At 43.9% G+C, this 24,626-nt stretch overlaps 1 protein-coding gene across 3 annotated transcripts in view, besides 4 other annotated features; it reads left to right on the top strand.

The window, feature by feature from the left end:
* RAD52 (RAD52 DNA repair protein) overlaps positions 1 to 24,626 on the top strand; it is a 79,387-nt gene that overhangs the window by 14,364 nt on the left and 40,397 nt on the right. The window lies entirely within an intron of this gene.
* Positions 2,047 to 2,594: an enhancer, noted in NCBI's record as "NANOG-H3K4me1 hESC enhancer chr12:1083331-1083878 (GRCh37/hg19 assembly coordinates)". NCBI's record gives its function as "activates a minimal SCP1, AML or CMV promoter by ChIP-STARR-seq in primed H9 embryonic stem cells {active_cell/tissue: H9 hESC(primed)}" and the evidence as "EXISTENCE:reporter gene assay evidence [ECO:0000049][PMID:30033119]".
* Positions 17,495 to 17,994: an enhancer, noted in NCBI's record as "H3K4me1 hESC enhancer chr12:1067931-1068430 (GRCh37/hg19 assembly coordinates)". NCBI's record gives its function as "activates a minimal SCP1, AML or CMV promoter by ChIP-STARR-seq in naive H9 embryonic stem cells {active_cell/tissue: H9 hESC(naive)}" and the evidence as "EXISTENCE:reporter gene assay evidence [ECO:0000049][PMID:30033119]".
* Positions 17,995 to 18,496: an enhancer, noted in NCBI's record as "H3K4me1 hESC enhancer chr12:1067429-1067930 (GRCh37/hg19 assembly coordinates)". NCBI's record gives its function as "activates a minimal SCP1, AML or CMV promoter by ChIP-STARR-seq in naive H9 embryonic stem cells {active_cell/tissue: H9 hESC(naive)}" and the evidence as "EXISTENCE:reporter gene assay evidence [ECO:0000049][PMID:30033119]".
* Positions 18,054 to 18,253: a silencer, noted in NCBI's record as "fragment chr12:1067672-1067871 (GRCh37/hg19 assembly coordinates)". NCBI's record gives its function as "represses an EF-1alpha promoter that drives an FKBP-Casp9 reporter gene in an ReSE screen in phorbol 12-myristate 13-acetate-treated (for megakaryocytic differentiation) K562 erythroleukemia cells {active_cell/tissue: K562(+PMA)}" and the evidence as "EXISTENCE:reporter gene assay evidence [ECO:0000049][PMID:32094911]".

Here is a 24,626-nt window from a genome sequence, read left to right as displayed (position 1 = left end):
GAAAACAACTCTATTTTATCGTAGCTTACAATTTTGTGGATTGGGAATTAGAGCCTGTCTCATCTGGGCAACTCTTCTGTTCCCCATGGCATCACCTGAGGTCACTCCATGGTATTCAGCTACCAGACGAACTCATCTGGAGTATCCAAGTATTCATTCACGCTCATATCTGGCACCTTGGCAGGGATGACTGGAAGCCTGGGCTCAGCTGGGACTGCTGACCATAGTACCTACAAATGGCCTCTTCAGCATGGCTTCTTAAATGGCTGCTCGGAGCTACCAAGAGACAGGAAGTAGAAGCTGCTAGTTTCTTAAGACCCAGAAATGGTACAATTTCATTCCTGCCATTGGTCAAAGCAGTCACAGAGCCTTCCAAGAGGAAACACAGACCCTCACTTCTCACTGGGAAGTATGTCAAAGAGTTTGGGGCTTTTTTTTTGAGAAGGAGTCTTGCTCTGTCGCCCAGGCTGGAGTGCAGTGGCAAGATCTCGGCTCACTGCAACCTCTGCCTCCCGAATTCAAGCAATTCTCCTGCTTTGGCCTCCCAAGTAGCTGGGATTACAGGCATGCGCCACCACACCCGGCTAATTTTTTTGTATTTTTAGTGGAGACGGGGTTTCACCATATGGGCCAGGCTGGTCTCGAACTCCTGACCTTGTGATTCACCTGCCTCAGCCTCCCAAAGTGCTGGGATTACAGACGTAAGCCACTGCGCCCAGCCCTGGGGCTGTCTTTAATCCACTACAACATTGCAAAGCTGTGAGCCAGGATGAGAACGCCAGAGGTATGAATGTGGATTAAAAGTCCAAGCACTGAAACTTTCAATGTTTAGAGACCAGTGAGAGAAAGAACCAGCAACAGAGACTCAGAACTATATCATATTCTGCTGATAAGCCAATAAGATGATAATGATAACTAAGAATTGACATTGGCTTTAGTGATGTAGACATAATTGGGGACCTTGACAAGAGCAGTTTACTGGGGGTGGTTGAGTTGAAACTTTGATTGTTTCAAGAGAGAATGGAATGAGTGGAAAGATAGTTTGTGAGTGCTAGCAATTATTCAGAGAATTTCTGCTATAAATGGGAGCAGGAGGATGTATCAGGAGCTAATGGGAGAAATGAGGTCAACATTATTTCCTATGTAGCTTTCTCTTATGCCCAAATTCCACTGGATATCATCCACTTCTGGTTACTTCTGGTTTGGGATGTATAGGTGAAGGAATAGTTTTGGATCCTCCTTTATTACCTGTTTTATTTGCATAATTGGACAATAACTAAACTTGCTTTAAATATCTCTTAAAGCATTTTAAATTCAAATTTGGAGAGAGGAATATGAGAGTGGTTTTTGGTCATTGTTTAGCCATATACAATATTGTCTTACCTTCTGCATTTGAAGTTTTTGATACCTGATAAATGTTTGTATTGTGTAGTTGAACAAGAATTTGCCACATGAAGGTTTACAGTTGTAGTTTTATGTTAAGTTCTTTACAGTAGTCCCCTCTCATCTTTATCCCCCACTTGGAACTATCTACAGTAGTTCCAGGACCCCCCTCCCAGTGGATGATTGAAACCATGGATAGTACCAAACCCTATATACATATTATGTTTTTCCTATACATACATACCTATGATGTTTAATTTCTAAATTAGGCGGAGTAAGAGATGAACAACAACTAATAATGTAATAGAACAGTTGTAACAATATACTATAATAAGAGCTACATGAATGTGGTTTCTCCCTCTCAAAATGTGTTACTGTACTCACCTATCTTTGGTCCATGGTTGTCTGTGGGTGACTGAAACTGCATATAAGGCAGGGGACTACTGTAACCACAGGTGTTGGAAGGCAGCATAGCAGAGTAGTTAGGGTCAGGACTGCGGAGGAAGACTGCCTAGGTTCATATTATGATGTAAACTCTCCATGCCTCACTTTTCTTATCTAATGCGGAGATAATAATAGTAACTCATTTGTAAAGTTATTATAAGTATTAAATGAGAAAATACATGTAAGACACTTAGAGTATCACAGGTCATCACTTACTTAGTATGTAGTAAGTATTTGATGAGGTTAGTTACTATTCTTATTGAGCAGTGAATCAGTTAGGAATGCTTTCGGCTGCAAGGAGGAGAATACTGATTTACAGTGGCCTCAGTGAGAAGCCTGCATTTCTCTCACAGAGCAGGCACTGCAGAGGTAGGCAGCTGCTAAAACAGGTTCCTTTCTACAGCTCCAGGGGTCTGAGTTGGCCACTCTTCAGTTCCCTCGGACCTCCCCTGTTGTTTGCCACACCACCAATCATCACATTCTCAAAGGCATTCAAGGCAGAAAGCTGGGAACAAGGAAGGGCGGAGAGTTTCTCTTCAGGAGCCTCCCTCTTACTAGAGAAGAAAAAAACCTGCCTTTTATGGGTTCTTTTGTCTTGTTTTTCATGACTGTCTTCATTTGAGAAAGTCCTCAGGCCAAGAAATGGAGGTGCTGGCAGTTGGAGATCAGGCTGTCCATAGCACACTGATGTGGCACAGGCAAGGAATATGGCTGAGGCACCAATTTGCTGCTACTGCTGTCTAACAGGCATTGGAAGTCTTATGTGTTCAAAAATAAACTTCTGATTTCTACTCCCAAACCTGCTCTTCCCACATCTTCCCCGTCTCAGTAGGTGGCAGCTCTATTTGTCCGGTTACTGAGACCAAATATTAGAGTCCTCCTTAATTTCCTCTCTCTCATGCTTCACATTCAGTTTATTAATAAATCCTGTTGACAGCCTGGGCAATATGGCAAGAATCCATCTCACAAAATAAATAAATAAGCCAGGTGTGGTGGTACGTGCCTGTGGTCCCCGGTTACTCGAGAAGCTGAGGCTGAGGATCAGTTGAGCCCAGGAGTTGAGGCTACAGATAGCTATGATCACACCACTGCACTCCAGCCTGGGCATCAGTGAGAGCACATTTCTTAAAAAAAAAAAAAAAAAAAAAAGAAGGACTGGGCGTGGTGGCTCATGCCTGTAATCCGAACATTTTGGGAGGCCGAGGCGGGCAGATCACTTGAGCCCAGGAGTTTGAGACCAGTCTGCACAATATGGTGAGACCCCTGTCTCTACAAAAAATACAAAATTTAGCTGGGCATGGTGGCACATGCCTGTAGTCCCAGCTACTCGGGAGGCTGGGGCAGGAGGATCTCTTGAGCCAGGGAGTTGGAGATTGCAGTGAGCCAAGATCACACCACTGCACTCCAGCCTGCGCAACAGAGCCAGACTGTGTTTAAAAAAAAAAAAATCCTGTCAGATCTACCTTTAGATTATGTCCAGAATTCAACCACTTTCATCATCTGTATCATTACTACACTGACCCAATCCACCAACATTTCTTGCCTGTATTATTTAAAATTTCTGGCCAGGTGTGGTGGCTCACACCTGTAATCCCAGCACTTTGGGAGGCCCAGGAGGGTGGATCACGAGGTCAGGAGATCGAGACCATCCTGGCTAACATGATGAAACCCCGTCTCTACTAAAAATACAAAAACTTAGCCGGGTGTGGTGGCGGGCGCCTGTAGTCCCAGCTACTTGGGAGGCTGAGGCAGGAGAATGGTGTCAACCCGGGAGGGGGAGCTTGCAGTGAGCCGAGATCGCGCCACTGCACTCCAGCCTGGGCGACAGAGCGAGACTCCGTCTCAAAAAAAGAAAAGAAAAGTTTCCTAACTGGTTTTTGTGTTTTCTTCCCCTTTCCCCCCATGATTTAAAAGCTAGGTTATATTCTGTCACTTTCTTGCACAAAATTCTCCAATGACTTCCAGTCTCACTCGGAGTAAAATCCAAATTCTTAGGATGGCCTATAATGTCCTACAAAATTTGCCCCCTCATTGACTCTTTGACCTCATCTGCTAGTCTCCTAGCTCATTCTGCTCCAGTTGCCCCAATTTCCCTACTGTTCCCCCAACCATGCCAGGTGTGCCCCCACCTCAAGAGCGGCCCTTTTTTTTTTTTTTTTTTTTTTTGAGACGGAGTCTCGCTCTGTCGCCCAGGCTGGAGTGCAGTGGTGCTATCTCAGCTCACTGCAACCTCGGCCTCCTGGGTTCACGCCATTCTCCTGCCTCAGCCTACCGAGTAGCTGGGACTACAGGCGTCCGCCACCACGCCCGGCTAATTTTTTGTATATTTAGTAGAGACGGGGTTTCACCGTGTTAGCCAGGATGGTCTCGATCTCCTGACCTCGTGATCCGCCCTCCTCGGCCTCCCAAAGTGCTGGGATTACAGGCGTGAGCCACCACGCCTGGCCTAAGAGCGACCCTTCTAATGGGCACAGTTTTCTGCCAGGTTGCCTCAAGGCTTGCTTCCTTACTTCCTTCAGGTCTCACATGTCACCATGCCTGAGCCTTCCCTGGTGCCCCTATGTGAAACAGCCATTTTCTCATGCACTTTCTGTCCCCATATCCTGTTTTATTTTTCTCCACCTGATATACTATATGTGTATTTATATATATATGTGTGTGTGTACTATGCTTGCTTATCTTCAGTCTCCCCCACTGAAATGTAAGTTCCATGAGAGAAGACTTTCTTGTATTACCTGTTTCACCCCTAGTGCTTGGAACGTAATAGGCACTTGAAGAGCATTTCCTGAATGTATACATAAACAAGCAATATTGCATGTTAGCGTTGCCTCAAGATTTGTGCTTATTCCTCCCATATTTTGTGATTAATTCCCCTCTACCTACTCCCAAAATGAGATTATTAAATCAAAAGGTAAAGGTACTTTGGGAGGCCGAGGCGGGCGGATCACGAGGTCAGGAGATCGAGACCATCCTGGCTAACACGGTGAAACCCCGTCTCTACTAAAAATACAAAAAATTAGCCAGCCAAGGCAGCGGGTGCCTGTAGTCCCAGCTACTCGGGAGGCTGAGGCAGGAGAATGGCGTGAACCCCGGGGGGCGGAGCCTGCAGTGAGCCGAGATCGCGCCACTGCACTCCAGCCTGGGCGACAGCGAGACTCCGTCTCAAAAAAAAAAAATTCCAAATAGCTTTCAAAAACAAAGCAATTATGTGGAGAGTATCATACGAGTTATACGTTCTTGTTAGGCATTGTACTTTTAAACTTTTTCACAAATTTTATAGAAAAGACTAGCAAAATTTATTATCTTTCCATATTTATTTACAACCAATAATAGTAGTTTTGAATAAATAATTAATTTTTTAAAGTATTTAAAAAACGGAAATCTTGACCAAAGGCTTTCTCAGGTTTATTCACCTTTTTGGCTGTGATCTGACCATGGCTGCCTGTAACCAAAGGTGAACTTACTAACCCCGCTCTGCACACTGCTGCTTATTTTCCTCCGTTAAGTGCAATACCTGCCTCCCCAGTTCACGATTCTAAGTCCTATATATTAGCTTATCTTTATATCTTAGTTATATAATTCTCACACTAGAGGAAAAGGCAGTCTTTTCTGGCTCAATGACTATGTCTTTAAAAAAAAAAATACCATGCCCTTCCCCACAATGTTTTCAGTATCCTATAATAATATGAAACAAAACAAAAGGTTGATTAAAGGAACGTACATATTGGTTGCATCATAGTCACCCCAAGGGAAATATTAGGCCCCAATGGAAGTAAAGACATATAGGTTCCTTTTCTTCTCCAACCAAAGGAGCTTGCTGCTCAGAGTTCAAAATCTATATTTTGCATATAGATTATCTATATTTTATCTTTGCATATGCAATGATAAAATTCCATGGAAAAAAATGGTGACATATGCACATAAATCCACTTCTATATACATACATTTTGACTCTTAGAAACAGCTACTATATAACACAATCAAGTATCGATTTATTTCCTGTCTCTCTCTCTCTACGTATATATTTGGTTCAAAATATATGTATTTGGTTCAAAGTCTCAGCAAGGGATGTACCTGGCTTTGGTTATTGATGAGAAGAGTAATTAATAGAACATTCCCTTTGCTGTGATACCCTACCCAAAATAGCTCGGTTGTTGGTTCACTTTCTTCAGATACCTCCTTGTCTCATGGACCGCCTACTTACTCCCAAATGCCATTCTGAACAACCATTTGTAACCACCTCCTCCCAAATGCCCTCTCCCAACTGCCTTTCTAAATCAATGTTTCACTGTCCTAATTTCTTACTGTTCTTTGCAGTTGTCATTTTAACCTAAGAGCTAATTATCTTTGCCAAACACCATTCCTAATAGGCCAAACTTTCAAACTGAAAAAAGAATCTTAGGAAGTCTTTTGGTAAAAATAAATGTTCCCTTATTTTTGGTTATTAGTATTTTGTTTTTTATTTTAAACTATGGATAGCTTCTTGACTGCCTAAGATTGTGCTACATAAATATCCAGTAACCACCCTAATCAGCAAAATGAGATAATAAAACAATCCCAAAAGGAATGTGAGTAGGACTAAATTATGACTTTTTTTTTTTTTTTTTTTTTTTGAGATGATGTCTTGTTCTGTTGCCCAGGCTGGAGTGCAGTAGTGCCATCTCAACTTACTGCAGCCTTCACCTCCTGGGTTCAGGTGATTCTCCTGCCTCAGCACCCCCCTGCCCCACCCAGGTAGCTGGGATCACAGGCACCTGCCACCACACCCGGCTAATTTTTGTATTTTTAGTAGAGACAGGGTTTCGCATGTTGGACAGGCTGGTCTCGAACTCCTGACCTCAGGTGATCCACCACCTCCGCCTCCCAAAGTGCTGGGATTATAGGCATGAGTCACCGCGCCCAGCCCTAAATTATATCACCAGAAATGGAGTGGGATATATGAAGACAATGTGTCTCACTTCACACTGACGCAAAGTCTGTCAACAGAACAGAAGCAAGAATTCCTGAATTAAGTTATCACCAGTATATATGGAATGCTGTCTGATAAACCTCTTTACATAGTTTCTTCATTTTACTTTTCCCAGATTTTGTACTTCACTCTTAATATCGTATACACATACTAAAATCTTTTTTTTTTTTTAAGAGTCAGGGTCTTGCTCTGTCACCCAGGCTGGAGTGCAGTGGTGTGATCATAGCTCACTGTAGCCTCAACTCCTGGGCTCAAGATATCCTCCCACCTCAGCCTCCCAAGTAGCTGGGACTACAGGAGCATGACAGCATGCCCGGCTAATTTTTAAATTTTATTTTTGTAGAGACAGGGGCTCCCTGTGTTGCCCAGGCTGGTCTCAAACTTCTGGGCTCAAGTGATCCTCCTGCCTCAGCCTCCCAAGGTGTTGGAATTACAGGCTTGAGCCACCATGCCCAGCTTAAAATTCTTGTAATGAGAACAACTATGGTCAAATGTAATAAATTGTGATTATATATATAATAAAATAAGTAAAATGTCTATTTCATATAATTTATATGACAAATATAATACAATTAGTGCAGCCCCACCAAAGTCTCATCTAAATAAAATTATTGACTATTATACTTTTGGTATGAATCAGTTCTCATTGTGAGAATGTTAAATAATTCTTTGACTGGTGTTCCTGGGATGCAAATATATGTAGTTGTTCCTCAGTATCTGTGGTGGATTGGTTCCAGCACCCCCTTTCAAAACCAAAATCTGCAGATACAGTTGCTGATATGAAATGGCATAGTATTTGCATATAAACTACGTACATCCTCCTGTATACTTTAAATCACCTCTAGATTATTGTAATATCTAATACAAAGTAAATGCTACGTATATTGTTATACTGTATTGTTTAGGGAATAATGCCAAGAAAAAACAGTCTATACATGTTCAGTACAGATGCAGCCATCCATTTTCTTGTCCAAATATTTTTTATCTCCAGTTGGTTGAATCCATTGATGCAGAAACCACGGATACGGAGAGCTGACTCTGTGTGTGTGTGTGTATACTCACCAATTCTTTATTTATTCAACAAATATTTATTGAATTTCTACTATGTGTGAAGCATAGTTCACGATCCTGGGGATATAGTAGACAAGCTCCTTGCCTTATTGAGCTCACATTCTTATGGGGAAGGGCAGGTTCAGGGCCTTCTCAGATCTTTGCTGGGCATGCACACAGCCCTATGCATATGCTGCTTTGTGGATTCCCACAATGAGTTGAAGCTTTTCAAAGCTCCTAGGGACGTACCATTCTCTGGCTTTTCCTTTTGAGCTTTAGGTTAGCCTTTTGTTTGCCCTAATATCACCCACTACTCAGGCAGGAATGAAGTCAAACAATTGTCTTGAAATATTTTCAATAAATGCCTCTGGAGAAAAGGGTTTTTATTTTTTTAGCCCTGGATAAGATCCTGGTTAGGTTAAATAAAGGCAGCCTTGCAAGTGGGGTCTTCCCGGGAAGCACCAGACAGACAAATAACTACAGTACCATGAGAATGAAGCTTTGAAGGTGCTCTAACCCCATTCTGCCTTATCTAGTGGCTGCCAGGTTCCTGGGGTCACCAGGATTGTGGACTGTTGGCTTCCAAGGCTGCCAGGGAGCTGGAGAAAGGGGGATGGAAATAGGATAGTTAAAATGCCACAAACCTCTTTGTTTTTACTAAGATTCAACCATTTGTCTTGATAAATGCCTCCCAGATTGCTGCAAGCAAGCCTTTGGTTAATTTCCAGAGTTCTGATAAACTTAATACTATCAATTTTTGTCAGTTTTGTACTTGCTTTTATGGAGGAAAGAATTGTGGGAGTTTCTTTGTCATTTTCACTGCTAACACTCATAGGGATGAATCTTACAAACTTAATGTCATGGAATGAAATGGGAAAGGCATAAAATAGTACATAGGGCATAATTCCATGAATATAAAGCTCAAAAATAGGCCAGACACAGTGGCTCACACCAGTAATCCCAGCACTTTGGGAGGCCGAGGTGGGAGGACAGCTTGAGCCCAGGCTGGAGAGCAGAGGTGCGATCTCGGCTCACTGCAACCTCCCCCTCCTGGGCTCAGGTGATCCTCCCACCCCAGCCTCTCAAATAGCTGGGACTACAGACGTGTACCACCACACCCAGCCACAAAAAGTTTTTTTAATTAGCTGAGCATGGTGGCCTGCATCTGTAGTCACAGCTACTCAAGAGGTTGAGGAGGGAGGATCGTTGGAGCCAGGGAAGTCGAGGCTTCAGTGAACTTTGGTCGCGCCACTGAACTTCGGCCTGGGTGACAGAGACCCTGTCACACACCCACAAAAGTTCAAAAACAGGTAAAACTAAATGACATAGGCAGGGATGTGCATATAGGTGATAAAATGCTAAAGAAAATGAAGAACACAATAACCGTAAAATCCAGGATGGTGCTTCTTGAGAATTGGGAAGGGGTACCCACTAGCCACCTAGTGAGCTAGGTGATGGTTACGTGGGCAGTAATTTCACACCTATTTGTTAAATTGTACTTATATGTTTTGTGAACTTTTTTTTTTTTTTTGAGACAAGGTCTTGCTCTGTCACCCAGGCTGGATGAGTGCAGTGGTACAATCTCAGCTCACTACAACCTCCGTCTCCTGGGCTCAAGCGATCCTCCCACCTCAGCCTCCCAAATAGCTGTGACTACAGGCAGGCGCCACCATGCCCAGCTAATTTTTATATTTTCAGTAGAAACGGGGTTTCACCATGTTGGCCAGGCTGGTCTGGAACTCCCTACCTTAAATGATCTGCCCACCTCGGCCTTCCAAAGTGCTGGGATTATAGGCATGAGCCACTGTGTCCAGACCACATTTCTTTATGTGTATTATATTTCACAATAAAACATTTTAAAATTAAATAGATACTTCATTTATAATTTGCACCAAGCAGGAAGTGAACACATTCCACCCACACAGAACTCAGTTGTATGCCATCATATTTAACTACAGCACAGGGAAAAATAAGGAAGTGTAGCCAAAATAGATTTTTTTTTTTACCTTGTGACGCAACAGTAAAATAGATGTTATAATATCTACGCGTTCAAAGGAGAGCCTCGCCGGCCTTATTTAAAGGCTATTTATTTTTATTAATGTCTAACATACTTGGTCTTCTGTTTCCTCAGTAGACAGTAAACTCCTCAATATTATTTGAGCTCCTAGGACAGATCCGTGTCTGTTTTGCTTACAATAGCATCTCTAGCACTTAGCCGATTGTAAGTGCTCCATAATCATTAAATCAAGAATGACTGACAGCAAATTAGGAAAAAAGGGAAAAAGTTGATGTAAGCAAGTGCACTGACTGTAAGTCAGGAATGGAAAAAAAAAAGCCAATAGAAGGCGAAAACAAACAGAAAACCATGAGCATTAGAATGGAGTAACGGCTTAAACAAGTTATCTTTTCTCATATAAAAAAATGGAGGTGGCATGGCAGACTTTTGTATTATCAGGAGCCCAGGCTCCCATCTTTCTGCTTGACCATCCTCAGTTCATGGTTTCTAGTCTCGAGGTCACCTCAGGGTCCAAGATGGCCATGAATATTCCATTATTATATCCAGGAATAAGGAAGTCAAGTAAAGGGGAGCACAACATATTAAGGTGATTTCCAGAAGTTCCATACAACACCCCTATTTACATATTGGGCCCATCGCGGTGGCTCACGCATGTAATCCCAGCACTTAGGGAGGCTGGAGTGGGAGGATCTCTTGAGGCCAGGAGTTCAAGACCAGTCTGGACAACATAACAAGACCTCAACTCTACTAAAAAATTTTTAAAAATTAACCAGTTGTGGTGGCACATGCCCGTCCAGAGGCTGAGTTGGGAGGATGGCTTGAGCCCAGGAGGTTGAGGCTGCAGTGAGCCATGATCGTGCCACTGCACTCCAGCCTGGGTGACAGAGGGAGATCCTGACTCAAAAAACAAACAGCCAGGCACAGTGGTTCATGCCTGTAATCCCAGCACTTTGGGAGGCCAAGGCGGGAGGATCATGAGGTCAGCAGTTCGAGATCAGCCTGGCCAACAGGCGAAACCCTGTCTCTACTAAAAATACAAAAATTAGCCAGGTGTGGTGGTGCATATGTGTAATCCCAGCTACTTAGGAGGCTGAGGCATGAAAAATCACTTGAACCTGGAAGGCGGAGGTTGCAGTGTTCTGAGATCGAGACAGTGCACTCCAGCCTAGGCAATAGAGTGAGACTCTGTCTTGAAAAAAAAACCAAGCAAACAAACAACAACTACAAAAATAAAAAAACCCCAAATACATCTTATTGGCCAGAACATAGTCACCTGTTCAAATGTAAATATAAGGAAAGTAGGGAAATACAGTCTCTTATCAGGGCAGCTAATACTGGGGATTCTGTTCACTAGGGAGGAGGACAGATCAGATTTGGTAGGCAGCATTAGCAGGGAGGAGGACAGATGAGATTTGGCGGGCAACATTAGCCTCTGCCACAGGGAGAATTTGATCAGAAGCAAATAGATGAACCTGTACGCATCAAGAGGTTCTGAGTACAGCATAACTCTAATACATAACAATACAAAGCAGTCGTACTTGTTAATAATGCAAATTCTGAGACATCAAGAAAAATATTAAATTACATGTACCAATCTTCTGTAAAGAAAGCAAAGATGTGGCCGGGCACAGTGGCTCACGCCTGTAATCCCAGCACTTTGGGAGTCGAGGTGGGCGGATCACCAAGTCAGGAGATCAAGACCAACCTGGCCAACATGGAGAAACCCCATCTCTACTAAAAATACAAAAATTAGCCGGGCGTGGTGGTGCGCACCTGTACTCCTAGCTACTTGGGAGGCTGAGGCAGGAGAATCGCTTGAACCCAGGAGGCAGAGGTTGCAGTGAGCCAAGATGGCGCCATTGCACTCCAGCCTAGGCAAGAGAGTGAGACTCCGTCTAAAAACAAAACATCAAAAAGGAAGGAAGGAAGGCAGGCAGGCGGGCAGGCAAAGATGAGTATAATACATTTTCTGAAGAAGTGTATCCAAAATATTGAATATTGAAAACTTAGAGCACATAGAGGCTGGGGAGGTAGGCCACATCTGTAGCCCCAGCACGTTGGGAGTCCCAGGCAGGAGGAACACTTGAGCCCAGGAATTTGAGACCAGCCTGGGCAACATAAGGAGACATCATTTCTATAAACATAAAAAAATTAGCTGGGCGTAGTGCATGCGCCTGTGGTTCCAGCTTTTTGGGAAGCTGAGGTGAGAGGATCTCTTGAGTTCAGAAGGTTGAAGCTGCAGTGAGCTGTGACTGTGCCACTGCACTCCAGCCTGGGCAGCAGAGCCGCTATTGTCTGTCATCCAGGTTTTGCAGTAGGAATCTGATTGTTTTTTTTGTGTTGTTGTTGTTTTGAGATGGAGCGCAGTGGCACGATCTCAGATCACCGCCACCTCCACTTCCTGGGTTCAAGTGATTCTCCTACCTCAGCCTCCTGAGTAGCTGGGATTACAGGCACACACCACCACACCTGGCTAATTTTTGTATTTTTAGTAGGGACAGGGTTTCGCCACATTGGCCTGGCTGGTCTCAAACTCCTGACCTCAGGTGATCTGCCTGACTCGGCCTCCCAAAGTGCTGAGATTACAGGCATAAGCCACCACCCCCAGCATAATTAGTCTTCTTGTTTAACATCTTTCCCCCCACCTTTCTTTTCAACATAGCAGCCAGCAAAATCCTCTTAAAACTTACATAGATAAACATCACTCTTCTGCTCAAAACCCCTCAGTGGCCTTCCTTCTCAGAGTAAAACCAAAGTCACATCGCCTAAATGCCTTGTCTGAACCCCAAACCTTCCTGATCTCACCTGTGCTTGCCTCCTGGTGCCTTTGACTCAAGCCATTTCCTACTCATGTTGTACCTCCGACACTCCAGACGTGCTCCATGCTGTTCCCTCTGTCTGGAACACTCTTCCCCCCTTGCACTGTGCCCTTCTCACTCATTTCATTCAGTTATTTGCAAATGTCACCTGATCAGAGAGGCCTTCCCTAAGCAATCGCTCCATTTGAAAGAGTACCGCTGCCCTCGTCACTCTAGTTCTGCTGCATTTTTCTTTTCTTTCTTTTTTTTTTTACTTGCCGATAATTTTATTGCTTACGTAGAACATCCAAGAGTATTTAATGATAAATAGAACCCCCAAAGTTTCAGACAATTATTTGGTACATAATCCATACATAAAAATGAGTTGCCTTCCTCTATGCCAGAAGCCAACAGTTAGAATATATAATTTTATAAAAATTCTATTTATAGTATCAACAAAAATTTTTAAATTCCTGATAGAAAATATAAAGACATGTAAAGTATTCATAAAGAAAATTATAAATCCTTATTGAAAGGAATCAGTGGAAAGCTATACCATATTTATGGATGGGATAATTAAAAATCATTAATTTGATATCCTGCATTTTTCTTTATAGCATTTACTTCTACCAGCCACACTCTAAATTTGTTTACTTGCTTATCATGTCTATCATGTCTCTGTCTCCTGGAATATAAGCTCCAAGCCGGGAACTTGTTTTGTTTCTTGCTCTATTCTCAGTTCCTAGATCAGTACCTTTCACATGGGAGTGGATTAATAAATATTTATTTAATGAAGGATGAATGAACGAATGAATGAGAGGTATTAACACTGTTTACTCTGCTACAGGAGTCCTTGGCTAAAAAGATTGAGAATCAGTAAGCTATAGAACACTCTATGCAAAACGAAAACCACCCATACTTTTCACATGGAAGCATAAGACAGTTTTAACTAAATAAATGAAAACTTTTCTTCAAAAAAAAAAATTACTCTTCTACTTTTGTTTCAGTATTTCATTTACACTCCTTAAATCTAGTAAGAATTAGGCAGCCAGGCACAGTGGCTCATACCTGTAATCCCACCACTCTGGGAGACCAAGGCAGAAGGATTGTTTGAAGCCAAGAGTTCAAGACTATCCTGGGCAACATGGCAAAACGTCATCTCTATAAAAAGTGTAAAAAATTCCAACAGAGTTAAAATGTAAAAGTGAAAAGTATAAAAAAATTAGGCATGGTGGCACATGCCTGTGATCCCAGCTACTCAGGAGGCTGAGGTGGGAGGATGGCTAGAGCCAGGGAGGTAGAAGTTGCAGGAAACTGAGTCATGCCACTGCACTCCAGCCTGGGTGACAGAGCCAGACCCTGCCTCAGGAAAATAAATAAATAGATAGATAAATAAATAAATAAGGCATGCAAACATACTCAAATATCTGTCTTAAAAAATGTCTTCCTTGGGCCAGGTGCAGTGGCTCACGCCTGTAATCCCAGCACTTTGGGAGGCCGAGGCGGGTGGATCACAAGGTCAGGAGATCGAGACCATCCTGCCTAACAAGATGAAACCCTATCTCTACTAAAAATACAAAAAAAAAAAAAATTAGCCAGGCGTGGTGGCGGGCACCTGTAGTCCCAGCTACTCGGGAGGCTGAGGCAGGAGAATGGTGTGAACCTGGGAGCGGAGCTTGCAGTGAGCCGAGATCAGGCCACTGCACTCCAGCCTGGGCGACAGAGCAAGACTCCGTCTCAAAAAAAAAAAAAAAGGAAAGAAAGCGTGGCAGATGGGGCCACCTCTAACTCCTCATTGTGCATTCTCTCGATTCTACTCATGCTTCCAGGAAACTGCTCTTATTAGAATTGGTAAGATAATCTTGTTCCTTACTGGTGGTCACTTCTCCATCTTTATTTTCCCTGCCTCTTGTCAATGTCCTACACAGTAGACCATTTATCTTACTTGAAACATTTTCTTCTCTCTGCTTCTGGAGTAAAATACTGTAGTAGTTTGCTAGGGCTGCCATAACTAAATACTACAGACTGGGTGGCTTTAAGAACAGAAATTTGTTCTAAAGGCTAGAGTCTAAGATCAAGGTGTCAGCAGGTTTGGTTTCTCCTGAGGCATCTCTCCTTGGCTTACAGATGGCCACCTTCTCACATGGCTTCTCACGTGGCTTCTCACATGGCTTTTCCACTGTGTGAGCACATCCCTCTAGTGTCTCTCTCTCTCTCTTTTTTCTTTCTTTTTTAGATACAGGGTCTCACTCTGTCATCCAGGCTGCAGTGCAGTGGATTGATCTTGGCTTACTGCAACCTCTGCCTCCTAGGCTCAACCGAGTCTACTGCTCCAACCTCCCGAGTAGCTGGGATTACAGGTGCATGCCACCAAACCCTGCTAATTTTTTTGTATTTTTAGTAAAGACAGAGTTTCGCTATGTGGGCCATGCTGGTCTCGAACTCCTGGCAACAAGTAATCTACCCACCTCAGCCTCCCAAAGTGCTGGGAATACAGGCATGAGCCACCACCGTGCCCAGCCATAGTGTCTCTCTTTGTGACAAAATTTCCTCCTCCTTTAAGGACACCAGTCAGGTTAGATTAGGGCCCACCCTAATGCTTCATTTCAACATTTCAACTTAATTATGGCTTCAAATGCTCTATTTCCAAATATGGTCACATTCTGAGGTATTGGACATTAGGGGTTCAACACATGAATTTGGGAGGAACATAATTCAGCCCATAACAAGTAACTTCCTGGCTTTCTTCTTTACCTCACTGGCCCTTTTTTTTTTTTTTTTTTTTTTTGAGATGGAGTCTCACTCTGTCACCCAGGCTGGAGTGCAATGGCACTATCTCGGCTCACTGCAACCTCTGCCTCCCAGGTTCAAGCGATTCTCCTGCCTCAGCCTCCCAAGTAGCTGGGATTACAGGCGCCTGCCACCACGCCCAGCTAATTTTTGTACTTTTAGTACGGGGTTTCACCATATTGGCCAGGCTGGTCACTCCTGACCTCAGGTGATCGGCCCGCCTCTGCCTCCCAAAGTGCTGGGATTACAGGTGTGAGCCACTGCACCCGGCCCCTCTTTTTCAATTTTCTTTGCTTATTTCTTCTCTGTCTTGCCTCTATGTGTTGGAGTGCTCAGGACTCAGTGTTGGGGCTCCTTCTCTTTATACTTTACTCTTACCTACTCCCATGGCTTCAGATAGTATCTGTGTACCAATGACTTCTTTATGTATATTTCTAGCTCTGCTCTGCTCTATGTCCTGACTTCTGATTCACATATTAAGTTGACATTTTCATCTGGATGCCTAACAGGTAACATATTAACATATTTGAAACAGAACTTTGGTTGGGTAAGGTGGCTCACATCTATAATCCCAACACTTTGGGAGGCTAAGAAGGGGGGCATCGCTTGAGGTCAAGAGTTCAAGACCAGCCTGGGCAACATAGCAAGACCCTGTCTTTACAAACAACAACAACAACAAAAATAGGGTGTGGTGGCATGTGCCTATAGTCCCAGCTACTCAGAAGGCTGAGGTAGGAGGATTGCTTGAGCCCAGGAGTTTGAGGCTGCAGTTTGCTATGATCGAGTGCAGCTCCAGCCTGGGTGTCAGAACAAGCAAACAAATCCAAGAAAATCAGACCTCTCCATTTCTTCTAAACCTGCTCCTGCCTCTGTCTTTCCTACTTCAGTAAATAACACCAACATTTACTCGGTTACTCAAGTGAAAAACCCAGGTATTATCCTTGATTCCTTTCTTTACCACCATTATCCAAACTATGGTCAAGTCCAACAGTTTGGATCCTCTATAGATTCTCTGTGAACACATTTTCCATATCTGTTATTTTCTTTCCAACTTCACTAAGCTACCATCTCTCAGCTCCTAGCTGGTGCCCCTGCATCCACACATTTCCCTACAATCCATTCTCCGTACAACAACCAGAGTGATGTTTCTATTCAGATCAGGGCATTTCCCTGCTTGAAATCTCGAAAGTGCCCTTGGTCCTTTATGGATGGTCCACCTTATAGGGGTCCCATAAACTTAAACCCCCAAATCTTTACCCTGGCTTATAAGGCCTGTGCCCTCCCTCCCTACATCTTGTACAAATCTCCCTTTGACCCATTACCGAAACTCCTTCCCACCTCTGGACCTTTGTATTTGCTGTGCCCAGTGTTAAAATAATTGAATTTGGAGAACATCAGGCTGAAACAGCTTCAGGGCCATGGGTTTCTCAGTAAGCAAACTAAAGCCCATGTAAAGGGTGAAACTTCAGCTTAACCACCCAGAAGCCAGCAACCAACCCTAACTAGGGACTTTACTGATCAGAAACTTCCAACTCACCTTTAACTAGAGACTTTCCAATGTAACCAATCAAATATGTTGTCTTTGTCTTGCTTCTGAGAACACCTTATGAAGGTTTTGCTCTTGCACATTTCCCTAGTGGAGCACTGGACTTCTTGGATTCTGGTGCCCCCTGATTCATGAACCACTGTCTGCTGAAATACACTTTTGAAAATTTAAATGTACGAAGTTTATCTCAACATCCGCCAGAACTGCTCTTCCCCCAGCCTTAGCCATGATTGGCTTTTTCTTGTCACGCAGTTATCGACATAAAGTCATTGTCGAACATCTCATTTAACGTCACCATAACCTGTGACCTGCTATTTTATTGTAAGCTCCGTGACAGTATAGACTTTATCTCCTTCATTCACAAATGTATTCTTAGTGCTTAGAACAATGCTCACTCCTGATAGGGGCTAATAAATATGCATTAAGTGAATAAAATTATAGATTTAACCATAATAAGGTAGTATAGCTAAGAGGCACTGCAATCAGCCTTGGATTTGAGAGTCCCTAACCTTGCCAATTACTTCACATCTCTAAAATGCAGTTTTCTAACTGTGAAATAGAGATGATACTAGTGCCGGTTCTTAGAATCCTTTTGAGAACTAAATGAGATAATGCATAGGAAGCCCTCAGCACTCGGTTGAGTAAACAGTTAATCTTAGCATTATTCTTACTTTTTTAGAACTCTCCTGTGAAAGTATTAAGTCATATGCCTAAATGCACCTTTCTCTGGTGGGCGGAGTGACAGCGCCTGGATCAGTAGTACAGCTGCTATCACACAATAGCCAAGGACAGGAAACAGAAAGAATACTTTATCCCCTGAGGATCGCAGGGGAATTCAAAGACACACAATGTTATGACTAAATTTGGAAGCTGGCCGAGTTACTAATACCACCATAGGGTGCTTGAGGAAAATGCCCCCAACCTCCTCAAGCCAGCCTCCATCCTAGCTGAGTGCCCCACCCACCGCCACTTGTAGAAGGGCCTCTGAATCGCCACACGCACCCTGCAGGACCCAGATCCTTCCCATTTCAGCCTGTGTTCCACGTGAAGCACACCATAGGCTGCCAGACACTTCATTGCCTGGCCCAGACCATCAGTATTCTGTGGCCAGCAGCATTTTCCAAAAATGGCTGTAACAACAGCACTGGTTCTGCATGTTCTTCTTTCACATGACTTCAACAGTCTCCCAGTGAGAGGTGAGGCTATGTTTTCTTCTCAGGCTAGGTCATAAAAGGCAATGCAGGCTGGGTGGGCACAGTGGCTCATGCCTGTAATCCCAGCACAATGGAAGGCCAAGGCGGGTGGATCACTTGAGGTCAGGAGTTCGAGACCAGCCTGGCCAACATGGTGAAACCCCGTCTCTACTAAAAATACAAAAATTAACCGGGTATGGTGGCGAGCGCTTATAATCCCAGCTACTTGGGAGGCTGAGGCAGGAGAATGGCTTGAACCCAGGAGGCCGAGTTTGCAGTGAGCCAAGATCTGGCCATTGCACTCCAGCCTGGGCGACAAAAGCGAAACCCTGTCTCAAAAAATAAAATAAAATAGAAGGCAATACAGCTTTCTGACATTCTCCCGGAATGCTCACTCTTAGAACTCAGTCATGCACCCTGAGAAATCCCGTCTGCGGAGAGGCCCACATGGAGAGGAGCCCCATGTTCCTCCCAGCCCCGGAGCCCCCTTACCTCTGGGCTGGGAGCAGCACCTCCTTGCTGGCCACGCGAGTGAGCCATCCTGAAGAACAGATCCTGCAGCCCCCAGTCAAGCCACTGGCTCTTGCCACAGGTGCAGGGGCGAGACCGCCCTGGTGAGCACTGCCCACAACGAGATTCAGCAAAACAAATGATGATTCCATCTCCAGAAAAATATTCCTGGTAACAAAGTAGGAAATTAATATGCGTAAAGCCCATTTTGGCTAATGCCTAAGCCAAATGGCAATTCTTTTTTTGTTTTTTATTATTTATTTATTTTTGAGATAGGGCCTCACTCTATTGCCCAGGCTGGAGTGCAGTGGCGCGATCTCCACTCACTGCAACCTCCGCCTCCTGGGCTCAAGTGATTCTTGTGCTTCAGCCTCCAAAGTAGCTGGGACCACAGGTGTGTGCCACCACAGCCAGCTAAAATTGTTTTGTATTTTTAGCAGAGATGGGTTCTCACTATGTTGCCCAGGATGATCTCGAACTCCTGGACTCAAGTGATTGACCCGCCTTGGCCTCCCAAACTGCTGAGATTACAGGCATGAGCCACCGTGCCCATACAAAATGACAATTCTTTTTTTTTTTTTTTTTTTTTTTTGAGACGAAGTTTTACTCTTGTTGCCTAGGCTGGAGCGCAATGGCATGATCTTGGGTCACTGCAACCTCCTCCGCCTCCCGGGCTTAAGCGATTCTCCTGCCTCAGCCTCCCGAGTAGTTGGGATTACAGGCGCCCACCACCACGCCCAGCTAATTGTTTTTTTGTATTTTTAGTAGAGACGGGGTTTCACCATGTTGGCCAGGCTAGTCTCGAACTCCTGACCTCAGATGATCCACCTGCCTCGGCCTCCCAAAGTGCTGGGAATATAGGCATGAGCCACTGCACCCAGCCTCAAAATGGTAATTCTTAATAAGTGAAAATTTTATTTCCTTCTTTTCTTATTTGGCTTTTTTAAACAACTGAAATCTGAAGGTAGTTGGCCCAGATAAGGACTTTTGTCTGCATGGAATTTTTATGCTTCTCTCCTTTTATCAGGTGGGTTCATTGTAAGGTGTGGAAGTGAAAAAGAATGCAATTAACATTACAGAAACATCTATTAAATGTCAGATATTGTGTGCTTTATATCTCATCTAATAACTATAATCTTATAACTCATCTAATCTTCCCACAACTCTAACTAGTAGATGTTATTTATTCTCACTTTAAGAATATGGAAATGGGGCCAGGCGCGGTGGCTCACGCCTGTAATCCCAGCACTTTGGGAGGCCGAGGTAGGCAGATAACCTGAGGTCAGGAGTTCAAGACCAGCCTGGCCAACATGGTGAAACCCTGTCTCTACTAAAAATACAAAAATTAGCCAGGTGTGGTGGCGGGTGCCTATAATCCCAGCTACTTGGGAGGCTGAGGCAGGAAGATCGCTTGAGCCCGGGAGACGGAGGTTGCAGTGAGCCAATATCACACCACTGCACTCCAGCCTGAGTCAAGCAGCAAGATTCTGTCTCAAAACAAAACAAAACAGAATGTGTTTAGCTATAAGTAACAGAAAACCCAATCAACAGTGTTTTCATCCATAAGGATATTTACTGTTAACAAAAGGATTAGAAATAAGAGATTCCAGAATTTGCACTGTGGTTCCTATCAGGAGTAGCTATACAATTTGTGGGGCCCAATGCAAAATAATAAAACAGGGCCCCTTGTTAAAAATGATTAATAACTTATAGCAGCATAGAACATTGAACCAAGCACAGGGTTGTTCTAAGTGCTGAGGCCTATACGACAGGTTCAGAGGCTGAACCTGGTTCTAACGACGTCAGAATTATGGGTTGGCTTCTGAAATTTTCTTGTCCCTGCTTATTGCGTTGGAAGATGGCTGTCGTAGTGCTAAACAGAAGAGGATGAACAAAAAAGTTCCCAGAAGACTTCCACTTGCATTCTATTGGCCAGAGCTGAGTCATGTGGCTGCCCCTTGTTCAAGGGAGTATAGGAAGGGGAGTAGCAGGCAAAGGGAAGTAAATTGCTACAATGAACTTAGATCAATCCAGATTTAAGCTCTACAGAAGAGTACATTGGGCTGGGCAGCCAACATGGTGAAACCCTCTCTCTACTAAAAATGCAAAAATTAGCCGGGCATGGTGGCGCATGCCTGTAATCCCAGCTACTAGGGAGGCTAAGGCAGGAGAATTGCTTGAACCTGGGAGGTGGTGGTTGCAGTGAGCCGAGATGGTGCCACTGCACTCCAGCCTGGGCGCAACAGAGCAAGACTCCATCTCAAAAAAAAACAAAAAAAACAAAAATGCCCAGGTGCAGTGGCTCACACCTGTAACCCCAGCACTTTGGGAGACCGAGGCAGGCGGATCACAAGGTCAGGAGCTCGAGACCAGCCTGGCCAATATGGTGAACCCCGTCTCTAACAAAAATACAAAAAATTAGCTGGGCGTGGTGGCGTGTGCCTGTAGTCCCAGTTACTCGGGAGGCTGAGGCTGGAGAACTGCTTGAACCTGGGAGGCAGAGGTTGCAGTGAGTTGAGATTGCGCCACTGCACTATGGCCTGGGCGACAGAGTGAGACTCCGTCTCAAAAAAAAAAAAAGAAAGAAGAAGAAGAACAGTACGTTGCTGTCCCAAATCAGGGTTCTGTTAGCAAGATAATGGGTTGGGGTCATGGCCATTGACTAAGCATCACTGTATCTTCTACAGATATCTTTACACAGTCGGCACACACTAAACCTTCCTATATCCTGTGGTTCATTCAAATTGGATTATACTGTAAACATACTCTTAATTTCTTGCCCTTGCATTCTTACTTATGCTTTGTCCTCTATTTAGAAGTCATCATACATAGGATTTTGTATGCATATAAATCTTACCCATACTTGGCAGTCTATTGAAAATGTCATTTCTGTCATGAAGAATTATGTGGTTCCCCCAATAGGGTGCAATTGTCCCACCTCTTAAATCCTTAAGAATACTTACCTTTAAATTCTAATTAATGTGTTTATTTACCTTATCACCCCTGTAGTGAATATTGTTTTGTCTGCCTAGCACTTAGTAAGGCATCTTGCTAATTGGGCCATAATAATGGGCATGCAACCCAATCCAGTGAGTCAGAGTCTTTCTCTGTAATTTTTCAAATTGGATCTAGGGAAAAGAATCCCCTTTCCTCACTGGTCACAGAATTAAAAAGTTGCATAACTGGAATGCTTTAGATATGTCCCTAATGTATCCCTAACCAATGCCATGTATCAAGGAAAATTCTAAATGAAAGATCCAATTAAAAAGAGTACTCTATCAAGGCTTAATTTAGAATTTTGATAGAAAAATGTAAGTCAGTATTTTTGCAACCTACAACCAGAAAGAGATTTTAAATACAATTTTAAAAGGATTAATCAATAAGGAAAAATATCTATGACTGTTATTACATTTTTTGGGGGGTGGGGGATGAAGTCTTGCTCTGTCGCCCAAGCTGTAGTGCAGCAGCACGATCTCAGCTCAATGCAACCTCCACCACCCGGGTTCAAGCAAGTCTCATGCCTCTCAGCCTCCCGAGTAGCTGGGATTACAGGTGCGTGTCACCACACCTGGCTAATTTTTGTATTTTTTGTAGAGACAGGGTTTTGTCATGTTGGCCAGGCTGGTCTCAAACTCCTGACCTCAAGTGATCCACCCACCTCGGCCTCCCAAAGTGCTGGGATTACAGGCGTGAGCCACCGCGCCCAGCCTGTTATTGTAAAAAATTTAAGGATTTCTGTTTAGGAAATGACACTATGGACAAAGTTAATAAGCAGCTAACAGAGTAAGAGAAGATATTTACAAAGTCAAAATCTGACAAGAGATTAATATCTAGAATTTCAAAGAATACCTTCACATCAACAAGAAAAAGGTAATGACTACATACAGAAATGGGTGAATGATATGAACAGCCAATTAAAAAACCAGAAAACCAAAAACTGAGCATGCACAGGAAGTGCTTAAAATCATTAGTAATCAGAAATATAATTTTTTTAAAAAAGATAACATTTCACACTCATTACACTGCCGAAAGTTGTGAATCAGCATGATGTCAAGAATTGGCAGGGGTGTGGACATACAGGAACCCTCATGCAAGGGCGGTGGAGAGCAAGCTGTCATTACTCAGGCAAATAAAATAGACGTCTGTCACCCAACGGTTCCACTGCTGTGTGTACGGAACGCTCTCACACAGTTTATAAAGGAACATGTAGGAATATGTTCACTGTAGTATTATTTATGATGTTCACAGTGGGGAAGGTAGATGGGCGAAATATGGTGGATGTACACCATGGGAAATGCTGTGGCAGGCAGGCACGATGGATTAGAAATCACATTGTGTTAGTTTCCTAAAGCCATTGTAACAAATTACCACAACTGGGTGGCTTAAAACATCAGAAATTTAGCTTCTCTCAGTTCTTGAGGCTCTAAGTCCCAGATTAAAGAACTTGGCACGGCCATGTTATGAAGTAAATAATACTACAGTGGATATGTTCATGTATGTCCCTTCGTAAATTGTATGAGGACTTTTTGTACACAGGAGTGGAATCACTGGGTCGTAGACATACACTTTATTTGACTAAGTAATGACAGCTTGCTCTCACAGCAGGGGAGGATACTTCCTTGCCTCTTCCAGTTTCCGGTGGCCTCATGTTCTTTGGCTTCTGGCATAATGACTGCAATCTCTGCCTCCATCTTCAGAGGGCTGCCTTCCTTCTGTCTTTGTCTCTGTTTTCTTATTTTTATTTTTATTTTTTTTGAGACTGAGTCTCACTCTGTCGCTCAGGCTGGAGTGCAATGGCACAATCTTGGCTCACTGCAACCTCCACTTCCGGGTTCAAACAATTCTCTTGCCTCAGCCTCCCGAGTAGCTGAGATTAAAGGTATGTGCCACCATCCCCAGCTAATGTTTGTATTTTTAGTAAAGACGGGGTTTCAACATGCTGGCCAGGGTGGTCTCAAACTCCTGACCTCAAGTGATCCGCCCCCCTCCCAAAGTGCTGGGATTACAGGTGTGAGCCACCTGGCCCGGGCGTCTCCCTTCCCTCCCTCCCCCTCCCCTCCCCCTCTCCCCCCTCCCCTCCCTTCCCCTTCCCCTTTTCCCTTCCCCCTTCCCCTCCCCTCCCCTCCCCTTCCCCTCCCTTCCCTTCTCTTCCGTTCCCTTTCTTTTGAGACAGAGTTTTGTTCTTGTCGCCCAGGCTCAAGTGCAATGACTATATCTCGGCTCACTGCAAACTCCACCTTCCAGGTTCAAGCAATTCTCCTGCCTCAGCCTCCCAAGTAGCTGGGATTACAGGCACCCACCACCATGCCCAGCTAATTTTTGTATTTTTAGTAGAGACGGGGTTTTACCGTGTTGGCCAGGCTGATCTCGAACTGGCCAGGCTGGTCAAGGCGATCCTCTCGTCTTGACCTCCCAAAGTGTTGGGAGGTGTGAGGCACCGAACCCAGCCTGTTTTCTTATAACAGCAATTATATTGAAGAGGGTCTATCCTGAATTGAGTATGACCTCATCCTACTTGATTACATCTACAAAGACCCCTCTCTAATTAAGGTCACATTCACAAGTACTGGAGGTTATAATTTCTACCTGTCTTTTTGAGGAACACAATTCAACCCACAACAAAGAATAGCAGGAACTATTTTTAAAATGTAGTTTTTAGAGCTGAGCATGGTGGTGAGCACCTGTAGTCCCAGCTACTCAGGAGGCTGAGGCAGGAGGATTGCTTGAGCCCTGGAGTTTAAGACAAGCCTGAGAAACATAGTAAGAACCCCTCTCTAAAAAAAATTTTTTTAATTAGCCAGGCATAGTGTCATGCACCTGCAGTTCCAGCACTTTGGGAGGCCAAGGTGGGAGAATTGCTTGAGGCTAGGAGTTCAAGACCAGCCTGAGCAACATAGCAAGACCCTGCCTCCACCAAAAAAATGTT

The sequence above is a fragment of the Homo sapiens genome, chromosome 12, assembly GCF_000001405.40.
Source record: "Homo sapiens chromosome 12, GRCh38.p14 Primary Assembly".
Taxonomy (NCBI): domain Eukaryota; kingdom Metazoa; phylum Chordata; class Mammalia; order Primates; family Hominidae; genus Homo; species Homo sapiens.
The sequence above is the reverse complement of the archived record's forward strand: the minus strand, read 5'-3'. Positions and strand labels throughout refer to the sequence as shown.